The sequence below is a fragment of the Homo sapiens genome, chromosome 2, assembly GCF_000001405.40.
Source record: "Homo sapiens chromosome 2, GRCh38.p14 Primary Assembly".
NCBI classification, from domain to species: Eukaryota; Metazoa; Chordata; class Mammalia; order Primates; family Hominidae; genus Homo; species Homo sapiens.
This window is the reverse complement of record NC_000002.12, coordinates 188966238-188989047: the sequence shown is the minus strand read 5'-3', so window position 1 is coordinate 188989047 and position 22810 is coordinate 188966238. Positions and strand designations below refer to the sequence as shown.

Here is a 22810-nt window from a genome sequence, read left to right as displayed (position 1 = left end):
AGGACTCTCTAAGATTATGTTTATTTCTACTGTCTAAGATATATGTATATGTATATTTACATATGTAAATATATAACTATATTTATCAGTAGATTAGATATGAGTGAACTGAGTGTTTACAGAAAAATGAAATCTATATTTAATATATACAGAATTTTTATCAGCTCTGGGAAGTGGACTATTTTGATGGCTAATGATGAGGGAATTCCTTTATTAACTAGTGTCTCTAAGATAGCTAACAATTGAAAGAGTCCAAAAGACTCAATAAAATGCTATTCGTTATTTACAAACTTAAGGGTAAATTTAATCTTCATTCTGTAAAGACCTATACTTGTTTTAGAAAACAAAGGTAGGTTCCATATGGAATTATCGACTTACTAAATATAAATTTAATTGTTACTTACTGAAGGACCAGCTTGCCCAGGTTCACCAGGGGGTCCTTGGTATCCTGGAGATCCCTAGTGAGTAGAATATGTAAATAATTTTAAAGTAACAAAATCTTCATATAATTCATTTACATCTTGACAGTAAGAAATCAGGATTGTGAATGTAATCAGCAAATTTTACTCCAGTTTATAAATATTGAGACCAAATTATTTTTAGATCAGAATGAAGTTAATGTATTTCATTCCATTCATTGCAATCCATCAAAACTGAATGGTTTTGAACTAAAAGTCATATTACATGCAAATTAATGTGGTTTAATTTTACCAAGATTTCAATTGCTAATAACTGTTGGTGGAAAGGAATTAAATATGGAATTCCATCTTTGAAGCCTTAATCAGTTTCTTGGTTATGATTTCTCTAGTTAACTGGGATTATGCATGCTGGAATGGCTGAATTATAGCAGAATATATATTAATTTGATTTTTCTAAAAATGAGGAAGAAAACACCACCAATGGCTATACTTACAGGGGAACCAGGATGACCAGATGTACCAGGGGGACCGGGAGGGCCTGGGGGGCCCTGGAATGTGAATTTGAATGAAAAACAAAATAAATGAATGCAAAATACACTTTATCCATGCTTCAAAGCAATGACACTCGCATTGTTAAAACTATGAACAACTATATCTCATCTTTTGATAACTTTTTGATAACTATTCATGAGATCTATAATGAAGATCTTAGCAAGCAAACATTACTGTAATGAAATTCTCACAGATTCTATATAAATTATTAATAAATGTTATAAAATGTTGTCCTGAACTCTTAAGGAAGGGAATTAAAAATCTGGAAAAACTAGTACATAATGCTATGAAAATCCCTGCAATGTTAGGGTTATATTGCACTGGTGAAGAAGCAATTTCTCGCTTGGCAGCCAAACTCAGTGCAGAAAAACATTTATTGGCACACTAGAAATCCTATAATCAAGTATCTAAAATAATAATGTAAATCAACCCAAAAGTCCCATAATTATGTTGATATATCTATCACAGAGTTAATTGACATAGAGATTTATATGATCATGCAAGAATCATCATACATAGGACAATTGATTTATCATTGTTCAGAAATACAGATTAAACTAGAAAACCTTCAGCAAGCTGAAAACAGTATGCTTCAGTTTTGTAACATGCTGTTTCTAAATACTGATAGTAAATTTATAAAACAATAGTTTGTATATTTCCATTTTCTCTTATAAACACTTTTCTGAGATGTTAATAAGTGTTGACTTTGGTTTTTTTTTTTAGTAAAAATTTATATGTGATTAAAAATAGGTTTAATAATATGAATAAGATAGAAAGAACATGATAATGCTACCATTTTCTTTTCCAACCTTAGTAGGGGTAAGCTATTTTGTACAATTCCATAAAAATACTGAATTCCTAGAAGAGCAACCATTCAAGATTTTACAAACCAGAAAGATAATAAAGCTCCAAAATGCTGAGAAACATTTGTACGTACAGCTGGTCCAGGATAGCCTGCGAGTCCTCCTACTGCTACTCCAGACTTGACATCATATGAATCATACTGGGGAGAATAGTTCTGTGGCAAGGAGACAAATAGATATGATCATTTTAACAGACAGTTCATAATTCTTTTAAAAAGCATTTAGAAGTGCATGCAACATCTACTGTCTACTGATAGGTTTTTGTGTGCCAAAAGATGTGGTATGTATTCACTAATTATCTTGTTTATCGTGTCTTTCTGTAGATTTAGACGTTAGATATCCTACAGAAGCATTTTCTTGTGGGATGCACAAATCTTTCCACTGTGTTCAATGTTAGTTCCCCCCAATTTTTCCTATTATGCGCTTACTTAAGCTATTATTTCTAAGCAGTAGCTACATCATTACAAACATAGGATCATAGGCTGTTTGAGGCCAAAAGAGTCTCGAGATCATATAATACACCTTCTCATTTTGAGCAAAAAAATGAAGTCAAATTATTTTTCAAACACTTAATGATACAAGTAAAATTCATATCCCCTGGATTCTGGTTAATATGACTAAAAGATTCACTCAAAAATAAACATCTCCATAGAAAATAAACCAAAAAATAGTAGAAAGGCTCATATGCTTATTAGATTTCTTTGAAGCTTTTTTTAAATTCTAAGTTCCAGGTCTAGAGTTAGGTTCTGTTTGGTTACTAGAATAAGAATAACTTAGACAATATACTTTGGTTCTTGTTGAATTGCTTTTTGAAATGCACTTTTTAACCTCACAAAAATTTGTGTAATATATTTTCTCGTTTCACCTAATTCCATGCAACAGAAATTTTGTCATATTTATTTGTTTGGTTGTTTTACCTGCAGATTTATTTGGCTGCCATGCTTCAGGAGAAGCAAGGTGTGCTCTGAAGTATTAGCAAGAGCAGTTTCATAGGCAGAAATAATCCTGTTCAATAGGAATACTAACAGTTCTTCAACTTCTTTTTGTCTAAACTTTTAGAGGCTTTGACATTGGTATTAGTAGGAGAATAAAGTATGGATACAGTACTAACTAAATTATTTAGGTTAATTTTTTTTGTTAAGTTCATAGTTCACTTCTTAAACATAATGTGTATGCTATATATCTGCTGAGAAATTAGCAAATTTTCCAAGGATATAGTAGCAATGACATTAGCATTATGAGGAAAAATGAATACTTATAAAGTACTTAGAATAGTGCCTAATACATAGAAGCACTAAATAAGGATTTATTAAATACACTGAATCAGAGAACAGATACAAAGAACTCATAATAGTGAGACGTAATATCGAGTAAAGAAAGAAGATGAACTAGATAGTTTTATGAGGGAATTTTTTAAGTACCGTAATTGTTATACCTGAGGACCAGTAGGGCATGATTCACAGATTCCAGGGGGGCCAGGAGAACCAGGGGACCCTGGTTGTCCTGGAATACCAGGGTCACCATTTCTCCCAGGAATACCAGGAGGGCCCTAAAAAAGAGATAAAAATAAATTAAATAGTGAAAAATCCTGGTGATTCACAATCATTATCAGATTGTTGTTTCTCTACTTTATAATATTAGGAAACAATATAAGTAATATATTTTCTTTATAACACATACTTTTTAATCAAAATCTTGTGAATAATTTAAGTATAATGTATTCCTTTGTATATTGACCTACACATTTTCTTTAAACTGATCATGGGGGTGAAGACATAATATGAAGTTTGGGAAATTGAAATCTTTACACGTACAATTATGGATTCTCAGTCTGTTGTTTGGTGCCATTATTCAAATATGTGGTAATGAAGAGAATGTATGATGAAAGCTCAAATCTAGAAAAAGCAAACTCTTACTAGAATTATCATTAGTATTAATTTTATTCTACTGAAGAATGTTTACTTACTGGATCTCCCTTGGGGCCTTGAGGTCCTTGACCATTAGGAGGGCGAGTAGGCTAATAAATGGAAAAGAAACAAGTTAAACAAGACACAGAATTTGCATATTATTTAGTAACCCAGATTCTAACCAATCCTTATCTTTAAATTGAAACGGTCACTTTTTACTCGTAATACAAACATGGCTATTTGATGAACATGACTTTCATTCCCTTTTAGGCTCCTATGATATAGGAGCTATTCATGTGTCTAAATATGAATATTGAAGATGTACAGTTTATCTTTAAACTCACAGCAGTTGGAGGCTGTGGGCAAACTGCACAACATTCTCCAAATGGAATTTCTGGGTTGGGGCAGTCTAATTCTTGATCGTCACATATTATGTCATCGCAGAGAACGGATCCTGAGTCACAGACACATATTTGGCATGGTTCTGGCTTCCAGACATCTCTATCCGCATAGGACTGACCAAGATGGGAACATCCTCCTTCAACAGCTGAAAAACAAGTTAGATGACGTGAAGTTTCCTTAGGTTTTGCTGAAAGGTGATTTTTGTTACTCTGTTAGGACTATTAACAATAGCCAAAGTTGAAAAGGTTTGAAACAAATAATTTCTTCCTTTCATTAGAAAATTATACTTGCCCTATGTAATTTGCTAAGTAGCAAGAAATTAATTAAAATATCATATCTGCTTGTTAACATAAAATTGGCACACCATAGTCAATTTTCCTTAAGACCAGCAGATATTTTAATTTCATTTATAGTAAGAATTAACATCAATGTATATCACACAAGCATTTAAACATTTATTTATTAAAGGAACATTGAAAATAAGCTCTTCTACCCAATTGCTATTCTTTGCCTTAACAGCAGATGGGAGCATTAAACTAAAGAGATGATTTTGTCACTAACTCTGAAGACTTTCTGGATTTTATCAACCTAGTTGAGAAATTCAGGGGAAAACTGAGCTAATCTTGGCAGCATAAAACTCTACCAGATTTTCCTGGGAAAGTTTTAACAGAACTTATTATGTGTATTGAATGTCACTGTTAGCTCTATTTGGCATTAGTAGCTCAACATGATATGACATAATATATTGTATATCCCATATGGATGTAAAGACATTTCCAAATCACCAAAAAGAAAAGAAAAAGATGTTTTTAAAATAAACATTGGCAAGGAATAAGTAAAAATAATAGGGAAAATATGAATCATAACCATCTGTATTTGTGGCTTAAAATGGTAAAAAAAATTGCTTCAACCAAAATTTTAGACTTGCTTCATAATTATATACAAGGTACTGAAATTTCAGCAGCTATTAACTATGAATCAGCTTAGGAATTGCCAAAACAAAACCTGGTCTCAATTCTTAAGGCATTAGCTGTGTATTGTGGTTAAATACAACTTTAGTTCTTGACAATTAGTATGATAGTTTGCCAGTAATTGAGTAAATAAATAATAAGTTTCTAAGCATCTGCAAAAATTTTTGCAAACAACAAATGATGTACTGTTCAGTAATTTATATTTTTGTGAGATGGTGAAATTTTTATTTTCTCAAAGCCAAGATATTTAAAATGTCTATTGAAAGAGGCCTGCTACCGAGTAGGCAAGTAGTTCAAAATTAGTTTTTGCCGCCTAGTGGTCAAGAGGCCTTTTAGTGGTCCTAAGATTTTTCCATCTGGGCACTACATGCAGCCACAAAAGATCACCTTTTCGAGGTCCCGTTGCTATATCATCTCTCTGTCTAGGGTAATAATAATTTAGGTTTGTGTTTAAATGAGTTGAAATGTTTAGCTGATTTAGTAAATGTTCACCAAAAAGAATTTCAAAACCTAGACTCTAGAAAGTACTGCAATTGCTTCCCCACCTCATTTCCATTTATGTGTTCTGATACAAATTTAATGATATTGTACAAGACACTTGATCTACTCAAGAAGTTTTAAAAATCCATTCTTTTTTATGTTACAATTTCTCAATGTAGTTTACAGCTAACGAAGGAAAGCTTCATTTTTTAATTGCAATTTTAAGTAGGCAAATAATTTGTTTATTTAGAAAATTTATTCTAATTCCTCCCCTATGTCTGAAACACATATATGAGAACATGGGATATATTTTCTATATACATTTCCTAAGCTTTTAAAACAGCATTTCTTAATTCTTAGTGAATATAAAAGCTGAATACCAAAATGCTTATCTCAGTGGAAATGAAGTAGGCCTATTTGAATGGTGTTACGGAAAATATATTTAATAGAAGAGCAAACAGTCATTTACACATTGGTGTGAAGAGTAATAACAGGTGAGTCTATGCATTAAACTCATTTTGTTCTCTAGACAGAACTGGCGTTTCATATTTAAGTACTAAGTTCACCAGTCTGCAGAAAAGGTCCGAAAATTTGGGTTTGGAAGATTGTGCAGTAAAATTACATGGAACACTGTAATTACATTGGTTCCTTTTCTCAAAATGAACCACTTAAAAATTTTCTCCAAATCAACTTTATATGAAATATTCCTACAGATTAGTTTCAGCCCAAGATTTTCCCATTAATAATGTGTATTTTAAGCCCTCCAGATCCATCCTCAAAAGCATTGTTAGATTGTACAGATGATTCTTTTAGCTCATTGCCTCTGGATCAGGCATATCTTTTCACACTTAATACAGCACGTGGATTATGAAAAACAGCCATTGAATACTAAAGGCATATTAAAGACAAATGAAGATAATAGTTAAAGCTAGGCTCAAACATTTCCTATTTTAAGTATCTTCTATATGTTCTTGATCTGCCTAGAAATTAACATAAATACTTTTCCCTCCTGTGTATTCATCCTCCTATGTTTATGTCTCATTAAGGGTGTCCTCACATCATTAGAAATACAGTACTTTCCATTTGTTCTGCTAATTATTAAATAAATGAGCACAATATTGACTTATTAAAATTGTAAATGAGTTTGTTAAAATTGGGTCAAATGCAATGTTATAAGTATTAACGTTGTTATTTAGCTTATTGTTTCTAAATTTTATTAGAAACATATTATAGTACTTTTTAAAACACGGAGGCCTCAATATAAAGATTATTTTAGTGCAATTTTAAAAATTATCATATTCTTAAAATATTTTTCTCTTCTCACCTGCACATGACAGTCAACATGGTGCATGTATGTTTTGTTTTACTTTAGAAAGTCATATTGTTTTAAGTAAAAAAAAGAGAGTTGGAATGTTTAAAAAATAAGAATTAATGCAACTTTATTTATTGCCATAACTTATTTCACATCCACTTGAAATAAATTTGGCTCTCCTGAGAAGTCAGTTCCTGTAAAAACTTGTGGCTGAAAATTAGCCCTTTCTCTGTTTTTCTACCTTAGTTACCTTTGCTGAAAAAAATAGTTTTGTATAGCTTCCTTTATTATTCCATGCATGACAAAATATAGTTAGCAATATATTCTACTGAAAGTTAAAGCTCTTAGATTGATGTTTCATGGACCTTCATTTAATACCTAGTAATATGTGCGAAAATCATGGCAAAGTCAAGGAAAAGAATGTTTTGTTTCTAGAGGAATAAAAATGCTCTAGTTAGCCATTTGCAACATTTAGAAATAGAATAGAAAATGGGATTTAGAAGTAAGTCATCTCATATTATTCTCTTCATTTCTTAGATATCTGCATTCAGAGTAGCTTCGGTTAAAAAAATAAGTTAATTTTTTCCAAAAATATTAAATAAAAGGCAAATAATTTCATTCTACTATTGAAAAGTAATGGACTTTCCAATTATTTCCATTATTTTAGTTGTTTAAACTAAATCTCTCTGTTCCAATTTATAATTAATTTTAAATTCCATCTCCCATGTCATTTGGTGTTTCTGTTCCTTACTACGAAGTACAATTCTGAAAGAAATTTACTTGTGATCACACAAGCAATGTATTAAACTCAATCATCTCCTTGCTGGGATCTATAATATAAAACATATTGAAGCTAACACATGTCTTAAACCACTCTTAGCTGCTTCTTTCCTAGTTTTCTATTTTGGAATTTTAGAGAAAAATAAAGCCAAATAACATAATTTTATATTTTTAGATGTGCATAAAGCTTACTATTTTGTGATTTTTTTGTTTCCATTCTTCATGTTAAATCATGCTGACTTGAAGAAATCATATTGTTTGGACAAAAAATGAATGTTATGTTTGTCTTAATACTATTTTTGGAGCAATAATATTATTCCCTAAAGCACCTAATTAAATTAATTAATTTGGCTTGAATGAAAAGTGAATGTTTTTTCCTTTTCTCTTCTTACTAAATCCTTATCTGGGAAAAGATGTTGTATAATCTGAAAATCTAAGAATCACAGATATGATATATAAATTATCATAATTATTTTCATTACTTTAGAAAGCTGAATATTTTGTACATGTGGGTATTTGGCATTCATATAGTTTCCAATTGAAATAATGTTTGGTTTGCCTTTTAAATGATATTGTTTGGAAAACATAAATTTTAATAAAATATTTTTTCTGCTGCTTATGTATTTATCAGAGTATCTTAAAATATGTTAGATTACTTAACAAAAAGGACTCTGAAGAAAGTATCTGTAGACATTCTAGGTGAATAATTTTAATTTAAAAGCACTGTTTTGCATAGAAAATAAGATTTTATTTATTCTTGCTACCTCCAGGAAAAAAAGTTGATAAATTATCATTTGTAGATATTTTCTTGTTTCATATTTTATAGATATATGCTTTTTCAATCTCCTTAGAAATGTCCTTTAAGTTGATTAATCTTTTAGAATTCAATTAATCTTTTAGAATTGTCTAAAAGATTAATCTTTTAGAATTGTCTAAAAGATTAATCTTTTAGAATTGTCTAAAAGATTAATCTTTTAGAATTGTCTAAAAGATTAATCTTTTAGAATTCAATCTCCTTAGAAATGTCCTTTAAGTTGATTAATATTTTATCCTGTTAAAAATAAAAATAATTAGATAATTAGAAAATTTTAAGTATCATATATCTAACCACCAGCAATTGCATATATAATAAAATCTTCTTAGTGTCAAATTATAAAAACATTGAAGAGAATATATTCTACTTGTCTTATTACATTTGGCAAACAACTTTAAATTGTATAGTCTTATAAATAAAATTTTACATTTCACCATCCTTATCACTAAGTTACTAAGTACTTTAATTTCTTCCTTAGAGTAATTTTATTTGCCAGCGTTAGTAAAACTAGTGCTATAGTACCTCCTATCTTGTAGGGACTGCTCTGAGTAGTTTGAATATCTATTTTGCTTCATACTCCCAAAGGCCTTATGAGCTTACAGCTGTCATAATCCTAATTTTACAGATGAGGAATCTTAACTGCAGAAACATTAAGTAATTTTCCCAAGGTTACACAGTCAGGGTGAAAAAGAAGATCTGAGTGTAAGAAGGCTTTCTCTAAATTTGATACTCTTAATTACTGCATTCTATTTTCTTTCTGCTATTTCAAAACTGAGTACGATTAAAGAAGCCAACTCCAAAGCTCTGTCCCATATGATTTTTTATCCCTGCAAGGTTAAAATCTGAATCTAGATAGGTATATTTTGAAGGACAACAGTTCTTTGCAAAATATTTTTCTATCTGGCCTCAAAACAGGAAGATGCCATCTGGAGTTAAATTCTCCTGTTTATTTTCTCTTGACCTTATGAAGAAGGGTTATATCTCTAAAGCTACCCTGATGACATCCAGACCACCAACAGAATAAATGTGTGACTCAGAAACCCTGCATACATTTTGCTATATACAAAAAAGTAGGGTTCTAACAACAATAGTACCAGACAGAAAAGACTTCTGCATCCAATGCAAAAATATGTTTAAGATGTCTCATTAACACACTGTTTTTCAGAAAATATAGTTACTAAATGATTCATGTTAATATACATCTAAGTTCATCAGAAGTTTTCACTGAATGAAACTGGAACGTTGTGAACATGCTATGCAACTCCAAAGAGTATTTCTGTGATTTTAATTTACTTGAGAAATGCAGTCTCTGTCATCCTCCACACAAAATACTATAGAAAAACAGTTTCAGAAAAATATATGCCATTTTACTGAAGCAGTACTTTCTTAATACTAGAATTCAAGGGAAGTTTAACTTTTAATAATTTCTGGATCTTTTCTCTTTGATGTTTACATCTTTTGGGCATTTTGACTCGTCCTCTTTCAACGTTTCATTTTGTTCATTAAGACTACATTTTAAACAGCAGTGCTTGACCTCAGTCATGGAAAAAAACAAGGGTTTTATTAGTTAATCTGAAAGGAATCCACTTCTGCTGTGTTTTCATTAGACACAGACTGAAACTCTGGTGGTTAATGTAACTCCCCCAACTGCAGTTCACAAATGATTTATGTAAGAATAGCTATCTCATTTTTTCCGTTGTCATCTTGACATGAAACAGGCAAAGTTTCCCCTTTGAAAAGTCTGGAGAGTTTTTTTTTACACTATATGATCTTTTTTTTTTTTTTTTTTTTGAGTGTGGAAACAATGGGATTGAGCTTTTATCTTAGGGAAAACTTTTACAAGAAACAGTTCACTGAGAGGGTTCCAGAAAGTTATTGTAGACCTGGAAACTTTACAACTGTTCCTCATGTCCAGCAAAAGCAATAACATCTTTCATCTTTAAAGCTTTAATTCTTTAAGCAATCTACTTTAATCACTTCAAGGCGGTGATATCATTAGATGTTACAAAATTAAAGAGCTGGGCTACATAATTTTTGGAACTCTGCACCAAAGAAGCCATTCACAATGGAAACTGTGGAGTTTCGGTAGATGGCACTCTTTTCTCTGAGTGACAACTCAAGGTCCAGCATGTGACCGTAGATGTAGAACAGGGGCTTTCCTGAGGAGCTGTCCTTTAGCCTCAACTATAATCCTGGTAAACTCACAGCCAATCATTCTTGATTTTTAAAAAGAAGCCTGTAGATAAGACATCAATCCAGGAATCTGAAGTAGTTAAGAGGCATTTAATCACAGTCTTTCCTTCTTTCCCAGAATTGTTCCAGTGGATTTGCTTTCTTTTCTTGTAATGCTGAAATGTTTAATTCCAGAATTTAATAAAAATACCTTTTTATATGTAGGCCTTTAGATCACTTAAAGAGTATTCAACATCAGATGATCTAAAGGCCTATACATAAATAGGTAGTTTTGAAAATCCAAATTTTTCAAGGCTCTGTTATTACCTGAGCATTTTTCTTTCCCTAGAAAAAAAGCTCAGGTAAGTAAATACAAGGTATCATGGATGAAAAACACAAAGTGTTATAATACTTTATTTACTCACACAGAACTGGTGATAATTTCTTTTAAAATGATAAGATCCTGAGCTTCTGGGGTTTAAAAAAATTAACGTACTACTCTCTATAAAATTGAATATTAAACAGAAAAATACCTATTCTTTTTTCACCTTTAGAAATGCATTATTAGTTCATGTACTTTCTAGGACGATATATAATTTTTTTAGTATCTCCTTTCAATGACAAATAGTTACAAAATTAAGAAAATTCAAATATCTGATTTTAATGTGTATTCTATAATTATCTAAGACTGAACAGAATATTGGTCCTAGCCTTGACTCCGTCATTTTCTAGTTTTGTAATCTCAAATAAAGCACTGATCCATGTTAGGTGACTGACACTGAGATATGTGAGCAACTATGCATTCTCTCCCTTTAAAAGTGCAATTGTTCCTAAATGTATGTAACCTTTTCCTGTTAGTTCAGTGTGTTTAATTGTAGGGACAAACACAAACCAGAAAACTTGAATGTTACCTGAGCAAGTTACAAATTCCCTCTTAAAGCATAATGAAAAAAATATACTCTCATGACGTCTAATAAGAAACTGATTCTCTGAGTCCATTTACAGTTTTAAAATTCTAAAACAACTAGAGGCCTACAGTTTATTTTACTGGAATTATCACTGTAGCAAAATATAGAAACTCAAACATTAGTACACATTTAATTAAAATAAAGTTTCTGTTTCTGCCCTAATGGAGCAGTATTACTTAGTAACAGCTGTCTATAATCTATCTAACAATTAAGCAGTGAATAAAATACTTATGTCAAATAAGGACTACATCAGAGACATGAAAAATGTATTTAAACAATAGTCATATGTAGAATTTTTAAGTGGCCGTAACATTTAAGCTAATTTCCAAAAAGACTCTGAATATTGTTACCATTGTGTTTTCGTGTCAGTATATGTGTTTGCAATATTTATCCGTAACATACTAATTTCCTTAGGAGAGCAGTGTTAACATTTAAAATTCACGCATATGAATTTTTTAAAGCTCATTATAAACTACCAAAGCCAGCTACATAACATTAATATTGGCATTCGTTATGTAAATGGTAACCTGGCTTGTCAGCCACTAGGTGACGCATCTTTGTACTTAAAACTTGGCATGTTTATAATCTACAGGAAATATAAAACAGACTATGTTTCTCCATTGGTGGATTAAAACACATGAATTAAATACAATGTTCACAAATTTGTAAGACGACCAAAATTCTTTTTGAGGACTTGTTTGTATCCAGAAAATGCCTGTGAGTGAACTAGAAGTGAGTGTTCATTAGAGCTGTGCCGTCTCTGAAGTTATGAGGGCATATATAAGAAACCCCACCCCAGAACTTTATGACAGCTCTCAGTGTGCTGTATATTCAGATACCTCCTGTAACTTTTCCAAAGCTTATCTAATAGCAGAATTTCCTTGTAAAACCCACAGGGAACATAAGATGTACTGTCTTAAGTCACTTCAACTTTACTTTTACTCATGACAAAAAAAATAGGCTGAACAGTTCTCTTTCAACTCTTTTTGAGCTTAAGAACACACAAACACATATCAGCAAAATTTTATACTTATTGATTATTTTTTGCATCTAAAGAGAAAGAGGGAAATAAACAGAACTTAATGTGATGTCAAGGTACTGTAAGTGGCAAACACCCCCCCACTAAAGTTGGATTGGGAAGAAAAATAGCCACAGTGCTTATAAAAAGCTTGCAACCACGAGGCAACTACAAATATGTTGCAATTTTTTGAGCTAAAACCCCTAAGTTTGTAGTCTTTTCAATAAATGGTTGGTGGGGGATAGTAGTCATTTGGTATCCTAAAAAAGGACTGTGAGTTGTAGCATCTCCTGGGAAGAGCAGGATAGGGAGGAAAAGGGGAGAGGAATGAGAAAGGAAGAAGGATTGAGAGTTCAGGGGAAAGAAAGGGTGAGGAGGCAAGGAGAGAGAGAACTAAAAAAAAGAAATGGAGGCATAAGGAGGCCACATGGGGAGTAGGGAGGGAGTAACAGGCAGGGAAGACAGAGGAGGAGAGAGGAGTAGATATGGGCTTGCCTAGGAAGGGGTGGGGTGATGAGTGAAGAGAAGTCTAAAGGAGCCAAAAGGGGTGGAGAGAGATAAGGAGGAGGGCAAAGCGAAGGAGAGGAGGGGTAAGGAGGAGAGGAAATTAAGGGAACAAGGAAAATGGGTGTTTCTTTTCTTTTGTGTCCATGGGCTGAATATAACTGAAGACATTTCATTGTATATCTACCCCTCCCCTCATACACACATTTACATGTATTAGCTATGAGGACAACAAATACATTTGATATTACAAACAAAAACCAAATTTTCATGCAGTGTCCTTTGCAAAATCTATATGTTTAAATGTAACCATGTTTAGTTATGTGCAATAAAAATTGTCTAATAATTTCTCCTAGCTATCTTTACATTTAGCACTTAAATATTTATTTCTATGGAAGTTTGTATTCCAATTTGTTCAGCATTTTCATGACTATGGTAAATAAAAGAATATTTTCACATAAATAATGAGACAAATGTGTTTTTAGGGGAAATTAGAATATGAAAAACATTACATGCAATTATTAGAAAATATAGCAAAACAGCTTTCTGAAGTCAAACAGTACTAGTATCTTTACCTTGTTTGCAGCAAAGTCAAACCTCCTGTTGAAACATTTTAAAAAATATTTTCTTCATTAATGCGAATGTGGTTAAAACGTAGAATATGTGGAAAATATTAGTCCCTTAATATCAAGCTACTAGAAAAGATGAATTAATCAATCATTCTTGAAACAAAATAAAAACAGGAATAATAAAATATTTTAGCAGTTTGATCCCTTTGAAGAATGTTTATAGGTATCTTGTAGCCATTTTACAGAAATATATTCAATGATTCTGATAATGCGTAGAATCTTCCTTTAGACTGTTCTTAATCCATGATATTTGAAAGGCATTCTTATTCAGAAAACAATGCTCAATATTCTAACCTTACAAAGAATCCAGCAGACAAAGAGGAACATAAAATTATTGCAAGAGACCAATAACTTCCAGACTGCCTGGGGAAGTATTCCAAGATGTTAACAATCCAGGAGGGAAAAATTTTAAAGCCATTTTTAAAAGTTTCCAGTGCCTTTAACATGAAAACAAGTTAGTACAAGAACATCTTATCTTAACCACAGAACTCTTAAAAACACACATAACGCGATTATTTTTCAAGTAATGTAAAAAGCACAGCCATGGTCAGTTCAACGTTTCACAATCTGGAGCTTATAGAGGAAATTATCTTGAATCAGGCAACTGATTTTCCCCTTTACACCCCTCTTTGTGAGGAGAAGAAAGACAAAAATCCCATAAAGTTTCTTGAAATCAGTACCTACTCACCTTCCTGTTGTGCCAAAATAATAGTGGGATGAAGCAGAGCGAGAAGTAGCCAGCTCCCCTTTTGCACAAAGCTCATCATGTCTAAATATCAGACATGAGACTCTTTGTGCAAAAAGGAGAAAAGAAAAGCAGTTCAAAGTAGCACCATCAAGTTGTTCCCTGCCCTTCAGCACCGGGCCCGTCATAAAACTCAGCCACTGAGATTCCTTTGCTTTGGCCTTAAATAGGAAAAAGTTTGGCTTCCCTCACTTTCCAGCCCCTTTCTGAAATATGAGAGCCGCACCCATCCCCTCAGCAGTAAAAGAAATGATAAATATTTCTTTTTCCCTTATAGAAGACACAACCCACAGTAAGAAAAAGAGCACATCTGGAGTTTGTATGCATCTGCTTATGTAAAAGTTTTTTTACATATTTCACTCTTACATATATGTTTGTATAACTTAGGAACGTATAGAAATGCTCTGCCTTGTTTTAATACATACAATGTAAATGCATACATTTTTATTTCCCCTTATGAAGTTAACAACTGCATAATTTTGAAAAACTGCTTGATGCCCATTTATCTAGTATGTCTAATTTACAGAACTGATCTTCCTAGAAGATTTTTATGTTGGGATTTTGCCAGAAGTAATCCTAACTCAATTTAAATAGGAGACTGTAAGAGACTCACGGAAAGAAATGCCACCGTATGCCCCTTCGACTCATCCACCCACCCTGGGTCCTAGAAGTTAAGTTTCAGGCAAATATCAAAAGACAAAGTATTTCAGCAATGTTTGAATGGCTTCCTAAAAGTTAGATACTTATCTATAGCTGTTTCCATTTCTCACAAATTTCTTTAGCAAGCCAGAGTGCTTTCTTGTGAGATTTCCAATTTTTATGCTGCCTGGGAAAGACAGAGCAGATTTTTCTAGAGAAAAATTCAGCCTTTTCATGACATAACTTTTTAGGAAACTGGAAGAGAAAGAGTTTATCACATAGAATAGCAAAAGAGTACCAGAGAAAGTGGTCATTTTTTCTGCATTACTCTAAAGATTAGTATAAATATTTCTAATTTAGACTTTTATGTGTATACTTTCCAGATCCTCATCCACAAAACTTTCCAATGTATTTCTGGATCTATCTAAGCAGTAATTTTTGTGTCATATTTGAAAGAGGGGCAAATACCATTTATAGGTCTTTGATAAATCTCTGCAGGAAAAATATGCTTGTCCACAGTATAAGGCTATATCTGGCAATGGAGATATCTCTTTACACCCTAATCATCAGTTCATAGTTAGTTCATCTATCTCTATAATCTACGGTGGACATTTCAATTCTAATCAAGGTCACTTGAACTAATTTTCTTCACCTTCACCTAAACATGTCCGTCTCTATGCCTGTGCACATAAAATTCTCCCCATTTCACACCAATTAATGGAAGTCACTTCCTTATGCCTCAATGCAAAACTTTCCTCCTTAAGTAAATTACCTCCTTTAAACTAATTTTCATCTTTCTCTTTCTTCTAATTTGTGTTACTAAATTTTCACTCAACTCATGTCATATGTATATTCCCAGGTGTACATGAATCCTGTAAGCATGGACAGTGGCAAACTTGCTTTCTTGTTTCTTGCATCTTTTTTTTTTTTTTTTTTGCGACGGGGTCGCCCTCTCTCGCCCAGGCTAGACTGCAGTGGCGCAATCTCGGCTCACGGCAAGCTCCGCCTCCCGGGTTCACGCCATTCTCCTGCCTCAGCCTCCCGAGTAGCTGGGACTACAGGCGCCCGCCACTACGCCTGGTTAATTTTTTGTATTTTTAGTAGAGACGGGGTTTCACCGTGTTAGTCAGGATGGTCTTGATGTCCTGACCTCGTGATCCGCCCGCCTCGGCCTCCCAAGCTTTCTTATATCTTCAGTCACAAGGACACAAACCAAGACATCTCAATGTAGATGACATCATTTGATGACAGGAAAGGAAAACTAGAACGAGACCAACCTCTTGTGTATCTTTATTTTAGATTGGAGAGTCACTGCTTGGGGGCGTGGGAGAAAAGTAACTGTTGAGAATGGTCATGAATATAAGCTTTTCTACTGGATCACAGTAGAGATGCTGGGGAAAGGCTGTTATATGCATCTTTCTGTCTTTCAGACATCTTTGTCCTGTACACAAAAAATATTTCCTGTGTTCAAACCAATTCAGAAACATAGTTTTTCTCATGATGTCTTTGTATCTACGTAGAATTCATATATCTATATTAGATTTCTCTCATTGTTTTAGGTGGTCTATAAAAGCTGAAATTTATTGAATTTCTTCATTAGATTTATTTTCCACTGTGAAAAATTAGAAATGTTATTTTTAAAATAATGCTTGTTATGCTTTATTTTAGGCATTATAAATAAAATTACTATTGTTCTAAAATTCTTAATTTGCTTAGCTATTCAAATAAAAGCCTTATACTCATGAGAAAAATTCATGATTGATGCACTCACTTAAGAAACATTAGCTGATGTTTTGCATATGGAAGGATTGTTGTATTTTAAGGTCTTCAGGAGAGACCTAGAGAATTCATTCTCCAGATATTCTGATTTACGATTCTTCACTACCTCGAATATGGAGGTTTTGCACTAGGATCCTTTGCATTCTGTGTCCCAGATCCTATTTTTCTACCTCCTGTCAAAGCATTTCCTAATACGGGGTCAAAGCATTTCTTAATACAGGGTCTGAACTAGGTGAAATGCATACACTTCTGAATCCTATTATGCCATCCAGGAACTGCTGTCCTCATTGTTATCTAGCCACACATTTCTTCCCATACTTCCCTGACTTCACTGATGTTAACCAGGACACATAAACATGTCATTTTGCTTTTTGGATTGCATTTGGAGCTTTAACACAAATCTAAATACCTGCACCAACTAAAGCACTGATTAATCTGGATCTCCTTTAACAAAGAGAGTGCCTGGAAAGATGAGGCAAAGCAAGGGTGTGGCAGATTATCAACCAAAAATTCAAATCTTTTCCAATTCAGTGGAAAGTGGAGCTTGAGAGAGATGCACAAGCACAGCTGTGATGAACTCAGTAGGCCAGTGAATGCCAGCAGCGCTTTCTACAACAGCACTAAGAAAATCAATTATCTCCACCATGGAAAACACATGGAACAGAAATGTTTCAATGTTTCTCTCTTTCCTCTCCCCTCCCCTTTGTTGTGCGGCTTTATGTGTGATTTTCTTTTTGAAGCCAGCAAGATGCTTTATTTTTAGGGACATTTTCTAGATTTCAAATCACTGTAAAGCCATTTAAAAACTACTTGTGATAATAGAACTACCAATACAACTGTAAAATACAATGCAGGTCTTCTTTATTATTCCCAGAGAGGTTGATCAGTTCACTCAGTTGATAAAGGTAAAACCACATTTGAAGAGTTGTGTTTCCTTTAAAAGAATTTGAACAAATACTAGTATGTGCATAGTAGAGCCAAAAATATGGTTGAAAAAGTCATGTTGTACTTGCAGGACTTAAACATATTTAACCATAGATATGTCCAGGATTGAGGCAAATTACACTGGCAGTGGGACATGATAGTCCAGTTTTTGAGTGATTATATGACCAAGTCTTCAAGACCCTTTTCTTTAATTTCCCCTTAGTCCCCAAGGTAGAGTTCATTGACCCCTTGTTTTTTTCTTATAGAACCATTTTAATAACCATTTCTTTTTAGCCTGGAAATTTCACTTTTGTACAAGATTTATATTTTCTTGACATTTAGTAAAATAAAGTTTTAGTAAAATTTAGTTAGGAAACACGAAGTATCTCAATTCCTATCTATTCTTTGTTATTAAACTTAAGGCTCTAAATTTTTATCTTTGTATTTTGCAACTGAAAAGTATCCCAAGAATGAACAGAAAGTTTAAAGAGGTTACATGACTCTCAAAATTACTCATTGGAATTGTAAATAACTAAAAATTTTCACTTTTGTACAAAATCCATATTTTCTTGACATTTAGTAAAGTAAAGTTCCAGTAAAATTTAGTTAGAAAAAACTGAGTATCTTGATTCCTACCTATTCTTTGCTATTAAAGCTAAGGCTCTGAATTTTTGTCTTTGTGTTTTGCAGCTGGGAAGTATCCCAAGATTGAACAGAAAGTTCAAAGAGGTTCCATGACCCTCAAAATAATTCATTGCAACTGGAACTGACTAGCACACTTTACAAATATTTTCACCATGCTTTCCACTAATCACTGATTGTGGTAAAGATATTTTTACGCAATTTAGAAGTGTGGTAAATACAAATCTGACACTTAATTTTGTATGTTTTCTAATGAGGCATTGTGAAAGGATGAAAAAAATGATAATGTTATGGAGTTAATGGCCAATTTACAAAAATTACCATTCTGATTTTTGTCTTGTCATTAATCTTTGAGTAATTTTCAGTATTGTATTTAAGTAAAAGTCCACTACTTTACACTTAATGAAGTACAATCTTAGGGCATGCAAAAGAGTTCACATATGTGTTTTTGTGTGTTTGCGTGTGTATATGTTTATATACCCCCCACATATATATGTATAATTAAATACGTATGTATATACTTTTAAAAGCTGACAAAAATTCAAGCAAGTAAAAATTTCTAGGAAACTTCCTTAATATACATGTAAGATAACTTGTATTTGTTATATCAATGTTGCTTCACATAAGTAGATAAGTAGCTATGAGTTTTTGCTTATGTAGACATAAACATGTCACCTGAAATCTTATTTAACATAACAGACTATTAATCATTGAAAGGGAAACTACTGGTAAGCCTCTACTTGAATTGTGAAACTTTCTGAAGTATTGTAAGCATGTTCTCTTGAACGAAGTTCTGATATACTTATATTTTAATTATAGCTTTATTTACTATCATAATTATTATTGTAATTATATTTGAAAATTCATAGGAAATTGAAATTCATCTCCTTACCTAATCTCATTCCTGAATAGTGTGATTACTTTATAAATTTACCACAGGGGTGACACAGAAACTGGGATGCCACATCGTGAAGCAGCTCAGGCGTTCCCTGTTGAGTCTTCAGTTAACTTAATCATTCTCAGGGTTGAAGCTCCACTCTGCAAATCCCACTAGACTCTCTATCAAATATAATTTGTCATCTGAGTCATCCTTAGGAATTTTCAGCAATATCCAACACAGCTGTAACAGCTCTTCAGATGTAGCCAATTCTGTGTAAAGATAAAAGGAAGGCCCAAATCACGATCTTCTGATAGATACATGAAATAGGTCAAAGCCAAACAGGGAATCTACATGCTTCAAATGGAGACTGATTTTTAATTCCTATCAATATCTTTTCTATTCAGATACACAATGGGGGCTCAGATTTAGGATCTTTGATTCCAAATAATTCTTAAGTACACAAAAATTGAAAGCCTCCTCATCAGGCTCCCTTGCCTAAAATAAACAGACATAAACAGACCTTTCTGTGTTTAACTTGCCATGACTATTAAATTGTCTACTAAATTGTCTAAAGCCTTCATTTTTGTCTGTACATTAAATCATGTTTAAAGAACTCTACATTTAGGTATGTTCTTGGTATATGTTCTTGGAGGAAGGAGGCCACAGCAAATAGTCTCCTTTCGTTCCCAAGGATTCAAGTGTTGCCCTCTGGAGTCTTGGCTTTCTTGTGGCAATGTCCGTTTTAGAAGCATTGTTTTGTATTTCTTTATGTACTTATTTTACTCCTCTTTGTAACCTTTTTTGTTTCCTACCCTCACCCACTTTTAAAAATCATGAACAGTAGTAAACACAGTCCCTTGTACATAATGAATACTGATCAATGTAACGAAGACTGACTGAATTAGGATGGCATTAAATAGTATTTAAAATATTACGTGTTTAATAATATAAGCATTTCTTAAAAAAATCAATATAGGACCCAGACCATGGATCAGTTTCTGCTCTTCACCTCTTTATTTTATAGATATCAGATATATTTCATAAAGTGATTAAGGTGAAACATATGACTCATGAAAATAAACTAGTCCAAGTAGAAAGTCTTCACATAAAAATTATGCCATATTGATTATTCAAAGTGCTAACCTTTGGATAATAATACTAAATAGATTAATATAATTTGATTTCTATTATTTCATGTCCAGCCACTCTCTCTATTTCTCAACCCAAACCCAGCAGGATACAAAACACTATTTTAGATAATTCTTGATATGCAATTCATCTTGATCCAAGAACTATCTTCTTAGTAAATCAAATGGCTCTTTTTTTTTTTTTTTTCCAATACCTACTCTACATTTCTGGGTTTCTATACCTTTGCATATACTGTCTTTCTGTCTAAAATGATTGTTCCTCATTCTGTATGTTCAAATCCTATTTTGAAGATTCTACCCAAAGATCAACTAATCTACAAAATCTTTCTGATCCTCCCTGTTAAAATCATTTTGCTCTTCTTCTAATTTACCTTACCTTTCCTATGCCTCTTAGTTTATTTTAATTTACATCTTTTTATGTCGTTTACTAGGCTGAAAGCTACTCCAGGGAAAAACTAAGGTTTATCTTTCATTTTATACTCCATCGTAGCTATTACATGGCCTTGTGCATAGTAGGAAATTAATAAGAATCAAATGGCGAATGATTTAAAATATGAAACACTTAATCCAGAAAAACACATTTGAAGTAATCTATTTCCTTTGTATCCTTTAGAACTCATGGTAATTTTCAATAAGTTAATTATTTCCAGTATTTCCATCACTCTTAAAAAAGAAGGTCACTCTTTCCAGCATAGGAAGTCTTTGGATTTATAATCGATTTAAAAAACTTCCAGATGTTATGAATTTATTTATAAAATAGAAAAAATAAACAATAGAACTAGTTAGGAAATAAATTGAAAGCAGTCAAACTCTGTGTTCACCACAAGTATTACAAGTCAGAGACCATTAGAAAAATTTATAAAATAGAAAGAAATACAGGTAATTTACCAAGGATCATGAAAGAGAATGACAGAAAAGCCAAAAGTTAATTTCAAAATGAATTGAAATAATTGAACTAGAAATGCATCATAATTTTAATTTATTTTTATTTTAGGGTAAAAAGAAAAAAAATGACATATAAATAAGCATCATGAAATTAAAATGCTTCAAAGAGGAATTATCACACTTTTTGTTTAAATTGTTTTCATTTTTCTTGACTCAATTTCCTTACAGTGAAATTTTTAAAAGGAAAAAACTGTGCAAAATGTCAAATAAAAAAAGAAAAAATACAAATCAAAATACTGAAAATTCCTTACCTTCCCACAAATACAGACACCCCACATGTAATGTAAGACAAATGTCTAAAGCTTTATATTTTATTGCTTGATTTATTAGCTTCAATTCCCATGAGAATTGTGGGAACTTCAATCTGTTTAGTTGAGCATGCTAAGGAGACATACAAGGCAGGTAATAGTATTCTAGAGTGGTCCCTTTATGTGTAGAAATTGTAATCTATTTTTTGGTTGTTCAGGGCAAGGTTAGCTGCAAAGTGGACAACCACATTGACCTAGATTCAGCATCAGGGGTGTGTCGCCATGGATTGTATCCTGGTGCCCAGCTAAAACAGTCACTTCTAAAATTTTAGTTAGGGTGTGGCTGGCGGTGTTAGATCAACAGCTGAAGGCTAGCTGTTGGAGGTAATGTGTGATCAAACTGGGTAGGATTGTGTGAGATTTCCCTGACCCTTCCCATTTCCTAACTTGAAGTTGTGCAAGTGACATACTTTTTATGGAGAGGAAGGGGAGAAAAAAAGTACATTCGCTGGTTATTTGTTATGATGACTAACTAGAAAGAAATAAGTAGCTAAAATAAGGCTCTTGAATTATTTTATGATACCAATATTTCCCATTCAAAATATGATCGAGAACTGTTTGATCTTTTGTTATCACATAGATTTAGAGGTGAAAAAAGATACATCTTGGAAGATTTCATCGAAATTAACATCAAGCTGAAGAAGATAATTTTATAGCTGCACTTTTTGCTATAGCAAACACCAGGGCAAAATATGGCCAGACAGTCAACTGGGACAGCATGACACATCACTGGAAAAAATGATTGTTGAGTACAAAATTACGAGAAAAGTAAAATCATTGTTGAAGCCACGTTAGCATACTCTGCTCAAATTATATCTGATTCTCTAGACACGTCTTTTGGAAGATTCCCCAAAACAAAAGCAGAGGAATTACATAAATGGTTTTACAGGCCAACCTTTCTGATTTAGTGTGCTGTAAGTTGCTTACAATGTTTCTCCAAGTAGGGGATCCAGGAAAATTCCTAGGGGTTGTGGATTTTGGAATTTCACCAAGTCCTTAATGATTGCAG

General features: G+C 32.7%; 1 protein-coding gene, 1 long non-coding RNA gene and 2 other non-coding genes across 4 annotated transcripts in view; 2 read left to right on the top strand and 2 right to left on the bottom strand.

Annotated features, from left to right (window-relative positions):
* COL3A1 (collagen type III alpha 1 chain) overlaps nt 1–14675 on the bottom strand; it is a 38374-nt gene extending 23699 nt beyond the window's left edge. Inside the window, exons 1-7 of the mRNA NM_000090.4 lie at nt 14480–14675; nt 4086–4288; nt 3801–3851; nt 3270–3383; nt 1909–1989; nt 914–967; nt 405–458 (exon numbers count right to left, since the gene is read on the bottom strand). Coding sequence (NP_000081.2) covers nt 405–458; nt 914–967; nt 1909–1989; nt 3270–3383; nt 3801–3851; nt 4086–4288; nt 14480–14558 — 636 coding nt within the window. The 5' untranslated portion in view covers nt 14559–14675. The remainder of the gene's footprint in view (nt 1–404; nt 459–913; nt 968–1908; nt 1990–3269; nt 3384–3800; nt 3852–4085; nt 4289–14479) is intronic.
* Nucleotides 4229–22590, top strand: LOC105373791 (uncharacterized). The gene is made up of 3 exons (XR_007087614.1): nt 4229–4337; nt 18569–18701; nt 22382–22590. It is a non-coding gene; the product is annotated as an uncharacterized LOC105373791 (long non-coding RNA).
* MIR1245B (microRNA 1245b) lies at nt 10887–10955 on the top strand. The gene has a single exon (NR_039947.1). It is a non-coding gene; the product is annotated as a microRNA 1245b (primary transcript).
* MIR1245A (microRNA 1245a) lies at nt 10887–10956 on the bottom strand. The gene has a single exon (NR_031647.1). It is a non-coding gene; the product is annotated as a microRNA 1245a (primary transcript).
* Nucleotides 22591–22810: the final 220 nt, after the last annotated feature.